Consider the following 14,894-nt stretch of genomic DNA (forward strand, 5'->3'; position numbering starts at 1 on the left):
AGAAGGAGAAGCCCAGAAAACTGGATAGGAGGCAGGAGCAGGGGATGAGGAGGAAGTTGGGTGGCAGGTGCAGAGGGTGGCAAGGGCAGCCCTCTCCGAAGGCCAGAGGAGTCCAGCTGTGAACCCGCAAAAGCTGGGCACAGGAGCCAGGGACACAAGGATCCCTGGCAGGCTCTGGGCCAAGTGACAGCTGTATGTTAAGAAGTCCTGGCCGGGAGCGGTGGCTCATGCCTGTAATCCCAGCACTTTGGGAGGCCAAGGCAGGTGGATCACGAGGTCAGGAGTTCAAGACCAGCCCGGCCAAGATGATGAAACCCCGTCTCTACTAAAAATACAAAAATTAACCCGAAATGGTATTGCTTGCCTGTAATCCCAGCTACTCGGGAGACTGAGGCAGAGAATCACTTGAACCCGGGAGGCAGAGGTTGCAGTGAGTCGAGATCATGCCACTGCACTCTAGCCTGGGCAACAGAGCAAGACTCTGTCTCAAAAACAAAAAAAATCCTGGCTGGCCAGAGGGGCAGGCTGGGAGTCATCAGAGGCCAGATGGGGCTCTATCCCCAGCTTCCCCCTACCCCACCAATCTTGACACTCCTACTGCACCATTTAGACAGATACCATTGAATAACAGTTTTAAAGCCAAGGTCCACAGGCTGGGCTTGGTGGCTCAATGCCTGTCATCCCAGCACTTTGGGAGGCCAAGGCAAAGGATCGCTTGAAGCCTGGAGTTCAAGACCAGCCTAGGCTACATAGCGAGACCCTGCCTTTACGAAAAATAAAAAAGTTAGCCAGGCATGGTGGTGCACACCTGTAGTCCCAGCTACTCGAGAGGCAGAGGTGGGAGGATCGCTTGAGCTCAGAGGTCACGGCTGCAGTGAGCTGTGATTGTGCCACTGCACTCCAGCCTGGGTGATAGAGCAAGACCCTGTCTCCAAAAACAAAAAGCAAAAACCACAAAAAAACGAGGTCCACAGTGAAGATCGCAGGCTCTGGAGCCAGACAATTGAGTTCAAATCCTACCTCCACTGCTATGATAGGAGCTGCTGTGTGACTGGGCCAGTTATTCAGCCTCTCTGGGCTTCATCTGCCTAATCTGTAGAGTGGGGCAATGGTGGCTGCACCCCGCAGAGTGGCTGGGAACAGAGTGTGCTGGTGAGCCACTTGGTCACCAGACCGCAGAGGGCACCTCCCTGGGGCAAGCACTCAGGACATCCTCACGTTAATCCCCAGAAGCAGAGGAGCAGGGCTGTTCTTACCATCCACCCCCCACCCCCCCCCTTTTTTTTTTTTGAGACGGAGTTTCGCTCTGTGGCCCAGGCTGGAGTGCAATGGTGCAATCTCGGCTCACTGCAACCTCCACCTCCCGGGTTCAAGTGATTCTCCTGCCTCAGCCTCCCGAGTAGCTGGAATTACAGGTGTGTGCAACCACACCCTGCTAATTTTTGTATTTTTAGTAGAGACAGGGTTTTGCCATGTTGGCCAGGCTGGTCTTGAACTTCTGACCTCAAGTGATGCGCCTGCCTCAGCCTCCCAAAGTGCTGGGATTACAGGCATGAGCCACTGTGCCCTGCTAATTTTTGTATTTTTAGTAGAGACAGGGTTTCACCATGTTGGCCAGGCTGGTCTTGAACTCCTGACCTCAAGTCATCCACCCGCCTCGGCCTCCCAAAACGCTAGGACTACAGGCATGAGCAACCATGCCCAGCCTCACCATCCCCCTTTCATGGATGCAGAAATCATGGACTGAACCCTTAACTCTGCACCGGCCAGCCTCAACACACCAGGTCCTCACCAAGGACTCCAGGACTAGATGCTGGTGTCCTGTCCACTTCATAGATAAGGAGCTGCAAAGTCACAATGACAAATTCACCCCCCTCCTAGCACAGCCCCCAGCCCTGCAGATGTCAGAAAGAAAGACCCTGCTCTGAAAGACAGACAGACAGACAGAGAGAAACAGATGGAGAAACATAGTCAGAGGCAGAGAGACAGGAAATCAGAAAGAGAAAATTCAAGCTCATGCCTGTAATCCCAGCACTTTGGGAGGCCAAGGCAAGTGGATCACCTGAGGCTAGGAGTTCGAGACCAGCCTGGCCAACATATTGAAACCCCGTCTCTACTAAAAATACAAAAAATTAGCCAGGTGTGGTGGCAGGTGCCTGTGATCCCAGTTACTCGGGAGGCTGAGGCAGGAGAATCGCTTGAACCTGGGAGGCGGAGGTTGCAGTGAGCGGAGATAGAGCCATTACACTCCAGCCTGGGCAACAAGAGCAAAACTCTGTCAAAAAAACAAAAACAAAAACAAAACACCAAGAGAGAAAATTCAGAGGCCAGGAGTGGTGGCGTGAACCTATAATCCCAGCTACTTGGGAGGCTGAAGTGTGAGAATCGCTTGAACCCGGGACATGGAGGTTGCAGTGAGCTGAGATTGCGCCACTGCATTCCAGCCTTGGTGACAGAGTGAGACTCCGTCTCCAAAAGGAAAAAAAGAGAAAATTCAGAGACAGAGAGGGCTGCTCTGAACACCCAGACTGAAGTAGGGGTGAGGGTGGGGGGAATGTTACCCCCAGTTTTCCCAGGGACCCCTTGTGGGAGGTGGGGTGGGAAGAGGTTGCAGGTCCCCTCTGGGCATCTCAGGGGTGTCTGAGAATGGTCTCCAGCAGAGGCGAAGGTGGACAGAGGCAGGCATAGGGCTGGTGACAGGTGTCACCTTAGGACGTGCCCTGAGTCCATGGGTATCCCAAAAGTGAGCAGGGCATGGCTGCCACGAGGGCTTCAGCACTGCAGTAAAGAGAGGGTTTCTGTGTGGTCTTAGACTCTGATGCTCTCCTTTCCCTTTTTTCTTTCTTTCTTTTAAAATGTTTGTTTGTTTGTTTGTTTTTTGACACAGAGTCTCGCTCTGTTCCCCAGGCTGGAGTGCAGCGGCGTGGTCTTGGCTCATTGCATCCTCTGCCTCCCAGGTTCAAGCAATTCTCCTGCCTCAGCCTCCCAAGTAGCTGGGATCACAGGCACCTGCCACCATACCCAGCTAATTTTTTGTGTGTTTTTCGCAGAGACGGGGTTTCACCATGTTGGCCAGGCTGGTCTCCAACTACTGACCTCAAGTGATCCTCGGCCTCCCAAGGTGCTGGGATTACAGGTGTGAGCCACCATGCCCGGCCAAAATTGTTGTTGTTGTTATTGTTTTTCTTTTTGGAGGGCTGGGCATGATGGCTCATGCCTGTAACCCCAGCTACGCCGGAGGCTGAGGCACGAGAATCACTTGACCCTGGGAGGTGGAGGTTGCAGTGAGCTGAGATGACAGAGTGCCTGACTGAGCTGAGATGACAGAGTGCCTGAGTGACAGAGTAAGACTCTGTCTCAAAAAAATAATAATTAAAAAAAAGAAAAGAAAAAGAAAAAAACTTCTAAATTTTTTGTAGAGATGATGTCTCACTGTGTTGCCCAGGTTGGTCTCCAACTCCTGGACTTGAGCCATCCTCCCACCTTGGCCTCCCAAAGTGCTGGGATTAGAGCTGTGAGCCACTGCATCCCACCTGTACCCTTTCCTCTGAGGCCTCCTGGAGCTGCAGTCCCTTAATCCCCTCAGCCCCAGCCCCTGTGGGTGAATACTGCTGCCCCCCTCAAAGTGAGAAACTGACACGTAGCAAGGCAAGTGAAGCCCCAGGAGTGGGTGTTACCTGCCAGCCCAAAGCCGGGAGTCCAGAGTCTTGGGTCCAGATCTCTGCTATAGACTCTGGGAGCAACCAAGGACACACTGCTCCCACTGAGACTGGAGATGGTCCCAGGGGGCTTCCTGGAAGAGGCGGCACCTGAGCTGGGCTTGAAGGAGAAGAGCTGGGGCTGGGAGAAAGAACAGGAGGAAGGGCTGGGAAGTGGGGGAAAGAGTCCAGGTGCAGCTCTGAGGGCACTCCCCGAGCAGAGACGGCCCAGGGCTGGGGGAGACAACGTGATTCCAAGGGGACTCTCGCCTCCAGAACCCTGTGCAGGACCTGGCCAGGCCTCTTCTGACTCCACAAGGAGAAAAATGTGTGTGCAAGCGAGGGGACTTGGGATGGGGCCAGTGCAGCTGCGGCTGGAACGTAAACCTGTCGTGGCTTCTGGCGCCATGGCCACCCCCAGCCGGGGAAAGGGCCCCGGCTCGGCTGATGAGAACCAGGAGCCAGGATGGAGCCACAGTGGGGGCATGGGAGGGTGAGGGTGACGGCTCTTGTTTTTCAGCTTGACCCTTGCCCATCCACTACTCCCCCATCCACTACTCCCACAGATCCTGGGCACTGTGGGTAACTGGAACCCTGGCCTCTAGATGCCCCCAGCCCTTGGATCACTGGTGTCCCCCCACCACTTAGCCGTCCCCAGTAGGCCCCCCACCATCCCCCTGCATCTCTGCCTTGGCTCTGCCTGGGATCTTCTGCATGGCTGTTCCCCCATCCCTCCAGTGCCTGACGCCACCCAGTGTCTTGCTAACCCACAATTCTCCGGACTACTCCATGGATGCTTGCTGGATAGACGCGGACATTTTCCATACAGAGAACTGCACAAATATTTTATTTATTTTTTTGAGATAGGGTCTCGCTCCGTTGCCCAGGCTGGAGTGAAGTGGTGTGATCATAGCTCACTGCAGCCTCAATCTCCTGGGCCCAAGCAATCTTTCCACCTCGGCCTCCTAAGTAGCTGGGACTACAGGTGCATGCCAGCATGCTCAGATAATTAAAAAAAAAAATTTTTTTTTTAGAGTCAGGGGGCTCACTATGTTGCTCAGGCTGGTCTCGAACTCCTGGCTTCTAGCAATCTGCCCACCTCAGCCTCTCAAAGTGCTAGGATTCCAGGTGTAAGCCACCACATTCAGCTAAAGTGCACAAATCTTATGTGGACAGCTCGAGGAAGTCTTACACAGGCCTACGACTGCATGACCATCTCCCAGATCAAGAACTAGAACATTCCCAGCCCCAGGTGGCTTCCTTGTGTCCCATACCAGTCATCACCACCTCCAGGAATAACTTCTACCCCAATTTATTGCCATGGATTACTCCCACCTGCTTTTTTGAGATAGGGTCTCACTCTGTTGCCCAGACTGGAGTGCAGTGGCACAATCACAGCTCACTGCAGCCTCCAACTTCTGGGCTCAAGTGATCCTCCTGCCTCAGCCTCCTGAGAAGCTGGGATGATAGGCCTGCACCACCACGCCCGGCTAATTTTTTATTTTTTTTAAGATGGGGTCTTGCTATGTTGCCCAAGCTGGTCTCAAACTCCTGGGCTCAAGCGATTCACCCCCCACAACTGGCCTCCCAAAGTGCTGGGATTACAGGTCTGAGCCACTGTGCCCACCCGGCCCTCCTGCCTGCTTTTGCTCTTTATATAAATGGAATCCTACAGTGTATATTTGCTTGTGCCTGGCTTCTTTGCCAATGTTACATGCAGGGGAGTCACCCATGTTGCTGAATAGCATTCTACGGTGTGGGCGGAGGCCTCACAACCTGCCTCTTCACTAGCCTGTGGATGAACGTCTGTTGTTTCCTGTTTGGGTCTGTTATGAAGAAGGCTGATCTGAATGTTCTTGCACATGTCTTTTTTTTTTTTTTTTTTTTGAGACGGAGTCTCACTCTGTGGCCCAGGCTGGAGTGCAATGGCGCAGTCTTGGCTCAATGCAGCCTTCACCTCCCGGGTTCAAGCGATTCTCCTGCCTCAGCCTCCCGAGTAGCTGGGACTATAGGCACCCACCACCAGGCCTGGCTAATTTTTGTATTTTTAGTAGAGACGGGGTTTCAATATGTTGGCCAGGCTGGTCTCGAACTCCTGACCTCAAGTGATCCGCTCCCCTTGGCCTCCCAAAAGACATGTTTGGGAGGCTCAGTGCTCATTTCTCATGGGGAGATGTCTAGAAGCAGAATTGCTGGGGCCTGGGGCAGGCGTAGAACACTGGATTCTAAACAGGCCGGTTCTTACTGTGCCTCTCCGAGCATTTCACACGCATTCCCACCACCTTCCCAGGGGACCTACCACGTGTCTCCTTCACCTCCCTTTATTCTCCCAGTAACAGAAACTTCAGATCCATCAGCCTCTGTTTTGCAGAGCAGAGCAGCCCTCCTGACCTTGCTCCTGTCCTGGTGGGCCCAGGGCACACCCGTCACAGCTAAAGGGCCCACTGGTTTGGCCAACAAGGAGAGAGCCCTTTCCTGCAGGCTGAGAGCCTCTGTCTCTCTCTCTCTCTTTTTTTTTCTTTTTTTTTTGAGATGGAGTCTCGCTCTGTCACCCAGGCTGGAATGCAGTGACGTAATCTTGGCTCACTTCAGCCTCTGCCTCTGGGGTTCAAGTGATTCTCCTGCCTCAGCCTCCCAAGTAGCTGGGTTTACAGGTGCATGCCACCATGCCCGGCTAATTTTTGTATTATTTATTTATTTATTTATTTATTTATTTATTTATTTTTAGTAGAGATGGAGTTTCACCTTATTGGCCAGGCTGGTCTCGAACTCCTGACCTCAACTGATCCACCCACCTCGGCCTCCCAAAGTGCTGGGATTCCAGGCATGAACCATCACGCCCAGGCCCTGAGAGCTTCTCTCATGGCACTTTGGGACTGTCTGTTTGCAGTCCATCCCTCTGTGGGCTGGTCACCCCTTTACCCCCAGGATAGAGACTGTGGTCAAGCTATTCCTGCACCCAGTGCCCAGCACACAGCTTGATGTGGACAACAGGGAACCGGCGGCTCACAGAAAGGTGGGGTGGGAGAGAACAGCTTAGAGGCAAATGTCTCCTACTTTGAGGACTAAGTCCAGAGATGTAGCTTCAAGGTCCAGTTTCTCTGCTTGGGCCTGGGGAAAGCTTTTCACTTTTTGGGATTTTAGTATGAGCCTGGTGTCCCTCCAGGGTCCAGGTGGGCCCTTCCATTCACCCCAGCCTTAGACCCAAGGCAGATGAGTTGAGTACAACCAAGAACCACTGGCCACACCCTTCCCAGGCCCTGAGAGGTCACTTCCTGGACAGCCCAGGCTGGAACCGGCCCACAGTGGGAAGAGAAGGGGTCTCCCACTGGAGATAAGGCCTCCAGTCAATGTCTCTGACATTCATGGAGATCCCTCTGGGGCTCGGTGGCTGGTCAGAGGGGTCGAGGCAGGGCCCTGGGCAGTGGGTGGACAGGGTCCGTGATCAGAGGGACCGTCACCCAGCCCGCCCTTGGACGTCAGCCCAGACCCAGGTTCCTCTCTTCCCAGAAGTTCATCCCCCTAAATGGACTTACGTGCTTAGCTCTCATTAACCTTCTGAACCTTCCAGAAAGGGAGTGGAAATGTCCTGCCTCATCTCCTGCTGAGGAAGCCTGGGTAGGAGTGGAGGAAGATAAAGGGACCCCCCCAAGGGCTGCTGCTGGGGCCAGAGATGTGGGGGTCCCAGGCAAGGGTGTTGTCCTGAGCAGAGTCTCTGCACCGGCTGGGTCACCAAGGAGGCTCTGCAAGTTCATCCAGCAGAGGTGGGAGAGCTGAACACCCCTGCCTCTCTCTTAGGGATCCTTGACTCCCTCTGCACCAGCCCAGCAGTCCCCCGCCAGCCGCCCCTCACTTCCCTCCTCCAGCAATTCTTTTTATTGTTTTTTTGAGACGGAGTCTTGCTCTGTCGTACAGTGGTGCGATCTCGGCTCACTGCAACCTCCGCCTCCCGAGTTCAAGCAATTGCCCTGCCTCAGGCTCCCGAATAGCTGGGATTACAGGCACTCACCACCACGCCCAGTTAATTTTTGTATATTTAGTAGAGACGAGGGTTTCGCCATGTTGGCCAGGCTGGTCTCGAACTCCTGACCTCAAGTGATCCACCCACCTCAGCTTCCCAAAGTGCTGGGATTACAGGTGTGAGCCACTGCACCCAGCCCAAGGGCCCATCTTAACACTGCTACTGTGCATGAGGCTTGTGCTGGGCAGGGGCTCCCTGGGCTGGGCTGAAGTGACCTGGGTAGCTGGCATGGGTGGTCTGGGTCTCCAGGTCTGTGTTCTCATTTCTCATCTGTCTCCCTCCGTCCCTTCACCCCAGCAGAGACAGATTACAGCCTGCACCATGGGTGGCCAGGAGATAATCTTTCTTTTAATTTTGTATTTTATTTATTTATTTATTTTTTGAGACACAGTCTCGCTTTGTCACCCAGGCTGGAGTGCAGTGGCGCAATCTCAGCTCAGTGCAACCTCCAACACCTGGGTTCAAGCGATTCTCCTGTCTCAACCTCTTGAGTAGCTAGGATTACAGGCGTGTGCCACCATGCCCAGCTAATTTTTGTATTCAAGATATTCCTTTGGATTCGATATACTCTTTTTTTTTTTTTTTTTTTTCGAGATGACGTCTTGCTCTGTCACCCAGGCTGGAGTGCAGTGGCGCTATCTCAGCTCAGTGCAACCTCTGCCTCCCAGGTTCAAGAGATTCTACTGCCTCAGCCTCCTGAGTAGCTCGGATTACAGGTGTAAACTACCACGGCCAGCTAATTTTTGTATTCGAGATATTCTTTTTGTTGTTGTTGTTGTTGAGACAGAGTCTCACTCTGTTGCCCAGGCTGGAGTGCAGTGGCACAATCTTGGCTCACTGCAATCTCCACCTCTCTGGTTCAAGAGATTCTCCTGCCTCAGCCTCCCAAGTAGATGGGATTACAGGCACCCACCATCACACCCGGCTAATTTTTGTATTTTTAGTAGAGACAGAGTTTCACCAAGTTGGCCAGCCTGGTCTCGAACTCCTGACCTCAGGTGATCTACCCGCCTCGGCCTCCCAAAGTGCTGGCATTACAGGTGTGAGACACCGCACCTGGTCGATATTTGAGATATTCTTGAACTCCGTGTGATTTGGAGGTTGACAAACCACTCGAGGTAGAAGAGACAGAAGTGGTGGAAGCATTTGAAGCTGAGCTTGGAGGACCAGAGGACTGGGGCTCCAGGAGAAGGGGTGGGAGGTGGGGGAAGGGTGGCAGGGAGCAGCTGGTGTGAGCCCTCATGCACCATCCTGGAGACCCAGGAGCTTTGGGCCTGACAGCACAGCTCAAACCCGTCCAGCAAGCAAGGGTTCCAGCTCCTGCAACACTGAATCCCCCAAATCCCTACAAGTCCCCAGGGGCATCTGGGGACAGTCTGCATTTCAGCCAGGACCTCACCTATGGGTCCTGGGAGCAAGGGGAAGCCATCCCCTTTGCCTGGAGTGTCCTGCTTGGGAAGGGCCCCCACAGCAGGGTGGCTGGGACCCCAGAGAGACCCCTCTCTCGAACCTTAGCCCTTGCCTTTTTGTGACCCTGCAATGGAAATATCCCCCAGGAAGGTTACTTTGATGGGGTCAGACCGGGTAGCCCCCGACCACTCGCTGCCCCAGACTCTTGGACAAGCTGATTCCCTCCCCAAGGCTTCACAGCCCCCCACTGCCCAAGTCTTCAGACCCCTCAGGTAAACCCTTATTTCCAAGAGCGCCCCGGCTCCCATGTCAAAGAGGGGGTGCAGAGACACACTGTGTGGGTGAGTGGAGGGCTGCCTGGTTTCCAACAGTGGTCCCCTTGGGGCACCTGTGCTCCTGCTGCAGTGGACGGCTGGGTGTCTGGAGGAAGGGCTGGGGTGTGGAGACAGCGGTGGGGCACAGCCAGCAGGGGTGGGGGTTCCAGGCTGACTCCCTCTGCATCTGCCGAGGGATGGGCTGCGAATGGTTTCTGTCCCCTGATATCCACTTGTTCTTTTTCCTTTCTTTTCTCCCTCTCCTCCCCTCCCCTCCCCTTTCCTTCCCTTCCCTCCTTCCTTCCTTCCTCTCTCTCTCCTTCCTTCCCCTCCTTCCTTCCTTCCCCTCTCCTTCCTTCCTTCCTCTTTCCTTTCTTTCTTTCCTTCCTTCTCTTTCATCTCTCTCTCTCTCCCCCCCCCCCTTTCTTTCTCCCTCTCCCTCTCCTCTCTCTTTCTCTCTTTCTTTCTTTCTGACAAGGTCTCAGGGTCTTGCTCTGTGCCCGGGCTGGAGTGCAGTGATGCAATCATAGCTCACTGCAGCCTCGACCTCCTGGGCTCAAGCGATCCTCACACCTCGGCCTCCTGAGTAGCTGGGACCACAGATGCACACTACCATGCCCAGCTAATTTTTAAAACTTTTTTAGAAATGGGGGTCTCCGTATGTTGCCCAGGCTGGTCTTGAACTTCTGGGCTCAAGCGATCCTCCCACCTAGGCCTCCCAAAGCGCTGGGATTACAGATGGGACCCATCACACCCAGCCCCTGTTCTTTCCCTGCTCTTATTTCTGCTGCTTTTTGCCCTTTTCCCCACTGAGTCCAGCCGCGGAACTGACGCCAGCTCTCTGATTTTATCTTGTGTTTATTGGGAAATGGTGGTGCCCATCTCTGGGCCAGTCCAGACAGCTTCCCCCTAGGAAGTGAGCCAAGTTCCCACGGCGTGTCAGAGTTAAAAACAAGGACAAGAGACAGCGTGAGAGACATAAGAGAGGGGGCACAGAGAAAGACAGAAAAGCAGAGAGAGGGACACACAGGTCCCCTGCTTCCTCTTCTGTTTGTTCATTAATCAGGCTGATGTCAGGTGGCACAAGGGGCATTGGACATCATTTCATGGCTCAAGATCATTGTCCCTAAGTCTGTTTTCCCAGGCTGTCCCCTTAAGAGCTGGGCTGCCGCGGCCACACCCTGCAGTCCATGTCACCCTCCAGCCATTGCTCTCCTGTGGGTGTGCCCGGCAGAGCCTCCAGTTCTGTGCCTGCCCCCTGGAATGCCCCTAAAGCCCTCCCAGCCCCTTACCCAGCCTTCAAGGCCACACCTGTGCCCCTCCTTCATGCAGCCCCCAGATGGGATCAGGAGGCAGGGTGTGCCTCTCTGTCCCTTAGGGGCTCCCTGGTCATCTCTGTGCATGTCTAGATGCCACTGAGATGGACTGGCCTTGATGGCCGGGACTCTATGTCTTAGCATCCAGCATGGCTAGCTGAAGTCAGTGGCTGCAGAGTGTGGGAATGAGTGAGTGAGTGAGTGAGTGAATGAATGAATGAATGGGGGAGAACTGAGTGACCCGAGGGAGGCCCAGACCTGGACAGGAGCTTCTGGTGCCTCTTGTCCCTCCTTTTTTTTTTTTTTTTAAGATGGAGTCTGGCTCTGTTGCCCAAGCTGGAGTGCCGTGGCACAATCTCAGCTCACTGCAACTTCTGCCTCTCGGGTTCCAGTGATCCTCCTGCCTCAGCCTCCTAAATAGCTGCAACTACAGGCGTGCACCACCACAACCGGCTAATTTTTGTATTTTTAGTAGAGACAGGGTTTTGCCATGTTGACCAGGCTGGTCTTGAACTCCTGACCTCGTGATCCACCTGCCTCGGCCTCCCAAAGTGCTGGGATTACAGGCGTGAGCCACCGCACCCAGACCCCTCTTGTCCATTCTTTTCATGGATGAGGAGGCTGAGGCCCAAGCTGGTCAGGGGGGTGCCAGGACTGGGGCTCCGACATTTTCTCTCCCAGGGGATTCTCAGGATCCCTCTATGGGAACATGATCAGTGGCTTTAAGGGGCCAGGGGCTTTCCCTCCAGCCAGCCCTGGACTCACAGGCCTCAGAGAACCTGGAGAAGCCAGCCTCACTCACATGGCTGGGATTTTCATCGGGAGAATCCCACTGGCCATGTACTGGGCTCTCTCCCAGTCCCTGAGATTGGGCTCTGGGCTCAGCGCTGAGCAGGACCCAAGGAAGTGGCTTAAGTCTTTGTGGCCAGGCGGTGTCTGCTGTAGAAAGCAGTGTGGCATGTGGCCAGGTGGTACTGTGGTCAGGGAGAGAGGTTGCCTGGGGCTGTCCAGGCTTCAGCCTGGGAAAGGGAGCACCCGGGGAACCAAGACAAGGTGCAGGGCTGGAGACAGCTTTGGGCTCGGCTGTCGGGGAAGCATATTGGCAGGAGGGGCCTCCTAGATGTCTGGTCAGAGATGGCCAGGGGGCCAAGGACATATGAGAGGCAGCTGAGGGTTGCCGGGCGAGCTGCCTCACGCCTGTAATCCCAGCAATTTGGGAGGCTGAGGCGGGCGGATCACCTGAGGTCGGGAGTTCGAGACCAGCCTGGCCAACATGGTGAAACCCCGTCTCTACCGAAATACAAAAATCAGCCGGGCATGGTGGCGGGTGCCTGTAATCCCAGCTATTCAGGAGGGTGAGGCACGAGAATCGCTTGAACCCAGGAGGTGGAGGTTGCAATGAGTCAAGATCGCGCCACTGCACTCCAGCCTGGGTGACAGAGCCAGACTCTGTCTCAAAAACAAAAAAAAAAAAGAAAAAAGAGAGGCAGCTGAGGGGAGGGACAAGGGTCATTAGTCCACATGGGAGCTGGCTGAGGCTGATGCCCAGGGATAGGGGAGCTGAGTGGGTGCAGGCCCAGGAAGTGAGCAATTGCCAGTGACACCGGGTGAAGGGACAGGTGGAGGAGGAGTTGTGAGCTCAGCTGCACAGGACATTACTCCAAATGGGGCTGAGGAGAAGGGGGACCCCCATACTCCCCACCTCCCAATGCTGAGGCATGTGGGTAGGGGGCTACCCAGGAGGGCTTCAGGGAAAAAGTGTTCTGAAGGAAGAGGCAGGAGGGTGGTGAAGGGGACATTTGGGGGCCACCCCTTCTCCAGCTGGCAAAATTGTCCTGTCCCTGCTGGGTGCGGTGGCTCATGCCTGTAATCCCAGCACCTGGGGAGGCTGAAGCGGGAGGATCACTTGAGGTCAGGAGTTTAAGACCAGCTTGGGCCACACGGTGAAACCCGCACCCCACCCCCCACCCCGCCCAATCTCTTCTAAAAATACAAAAATCAGCTGGGCATGGTGGTGCACTCCTGTAATCCCAGCTACTCGGGAGGCTGAGAGATGAGAATCACTTGAACCCAGGAGGCGGAGATTGCAGTGAGCCGAGATCGTGCCATTGTACTCCAGCCTGGGCGACAGAGCAAGACTCCATCTCAAAAAAAAAAAAAAAAAAAAATTTGCCCTGTCCCCTGAGACTCAGAGGTCAGCCCCTGCAGAGTCCCTTCTGCACAACCCCAGCCCCACCCCAGCCTTAGCAGCCCTCTGTCTGGGCAGGACTTTGTGGCCCTCTCTCCAGTCTGGAGACCAGAAGGCCAGGAAGGGAGGCCAGGCATGGTGGCTTATGCTTGTAATTTCAGCACTTTGGGAGGCCAAGGTGGGAGCATCTCTTGAGCTCAGGAGTTCCAAACTAGCCTGGGCAACATGGCGAGACCCCATCTCTACAAAAAATAAAAAAATTAGCTGGGTGGTGGCACATACCTATAATCCCAGCTACTTGGGAGGCTGAGGTGGGAGGATTGCTTGAACCCAGGGGTTCAAGGCTGCAGTGAGCTATGATCGTGCCACTGCACTCAAGCCTGGGTGACAGAGACCCTGCCTCTACAAAAAAAAAGAAAGTTAGCTAGGTGCCTGTAGTGCCTGTAATCCCAGCACTTTGGGAGGCCAAGGTGGGAGGATCGCCTGAGCCCAGGAGTTCAGTGCTACAGTGAGCTATGAAGACGCCACCATACCCCAGCCTGGGCAACAAAGTGAGACCCCATCTCTAAAAAAGGAAAAAAAAAAAAAAAGAAAGAAACAAAAGAAAGAACAGGAAGGATCTAATTCCACTGGATCAGCATGAAAGCGGCGTGTGCCTATGTATGTCCATTTCGCTTTCTCTGTCCTGCTCTGACCCAGCAGATTGGCCTCCAGGGACTGCACCACTGAGACCCCACACTCTCTTGCTTCTCGTGAGGTGTGGCCAGTGGAGGCACTGGCATGAGATCAGGGGGCGGGAAGACAGAGCCCAGTTCCCTCTGGTGGCTTCATCCTTTCACTTACAGCCCCTGCTCCTGCGGGGCCCCTCACCCATGGCTACTGCCTGCTGATCAGGAAACATCACTCCCTCCCTCCCATCAGCAATCAGATCCAGGAGTGCTTAGGCCCCATTACAGCCAAGTCCCAGGTCACCCTCTCTGGTCCATTCCCCTAATGCTGCCCACACCTTTGTAAACGCTCTCAATTGCCCTGTGAGACAGCGTACCATCTGTTTCCTGCCAGGGCCCGACGCATACAGGGTGTGGGCAAGGGTTTGTGAAATGCAGGGTCTTAGAGTTCACCCAGTTCACCTTCCCTTTTAAAAATGTTTCACTTTAGAGACAGGCTCTTGCTCTGTCACAGAGGCTGGTGTCCAGGGGTGCCATCATAGCTCACTGCAGCCTCCAACTCCTGGGCTCAAGCGATCCTCCCACCTCAGCCTCCATAGTAGCTGGGACTGCAGGTTCACACTACCATGTCTGGCTAATTTTTCTTTTGTTTTGTTTTGAGACAGTCTTGTTCTCTGTCACCCAGGCTGGAGTGCAGTGGCATGATCTGGGCTCACTGAAACCTCCTTCACCTGGGTTCAAGTGATTCTCCTGCCTCAGCCTCCACAGTAGCAGGGATTACAGGCATGCACCACCATGGCTGGCTAATTTTTGTATTTTGTGTAGAGACGGGTTTTCACCATGTTGGCCAGGTTGGTCTCAAACTCCTGACCTCAGGTGATCCTCCTGCTTCTGCCTCCCAAAATGCTGGGATTCCAAGTGTGAGCCACCACGCCTGGCCTTAACCACCATGCCCGGCCTTAATTTTTGTATTTATGTTTTGTAGAGATGGGGTGTTGCTATGTTGCCCAGGCTGGACTTGAACTCTTGGTCTCAAGCAATCCTCCCACCTCGGCCTCCCAAAGCACTAGGATTAGAGGTGTGAGCCATCTGCACCTGGCCTAACCATTGCTTTTTATGTAAGGGGAAACTGAGGCCCAGAGAGTGTGAGTGATCTGTCTTGGGTCACTCACCCCAGGGTTGGGGCTCATAGCTGTTCTGAAAAGGTTCTGGAGAGGCCAGGGCTTATCTCACAGAGGTTGGCAGCCTGTCTGCCCCATCCCCTGCCTGCCTCTCCCAG

At 54.4% G+C, this 14,894-nt stretch overlaps 2 annotated features.

Annotated features, from left to right (window-relative positions):
• Positions 3,553-4,054: an enhancer, noted in NCBI's record as "H3K4me1 hESC enhancer chr7:102165421-102165922 (GRCh37/hg19 assembly coordinates)". NCBI's record gives its function as "activates a minimal SCP1, AML or CMV promoter by ChIP-STARR-seq in naive H9 embryonic stem cells {active_cell/tissue: H9 hESC(naive)}" and the evidence as "EXISTENCE:reporter gene assay evidence [ECO:0000049][PMID:30033119]".
• Positions 4,055-4,554: an enhancer, noted in NCBI's record as "H3K4me1 hESC enhancer chr7:102165923-102166422 (GRCh37/hg19 assembly coordinates)". NCBI's record gives its function as "activates a minimal SCP1, AML or CMV promoter by ChIP-STARR-seq in naive H9 embryonic stem cells {active_cell/tissue: H9 hESC(naive)}" and the evidence as "EXISTENCE:reporter gene assay evidence [ECO:0000049][PMID:30033119]".

Source organism: Homo sapiens, chromosome 7, assembly GCF_000001405.40.
Source record: "Homo sapiens chromosome 7, GRCh38.p14 Primary Assembly".
NCBI classification, from domain to species: domain Eukaryota; kingdom Metazoa; phylum Chordata; class Mammalia; order Primates; family Hominidae; genus Homo; species Homo sapiens.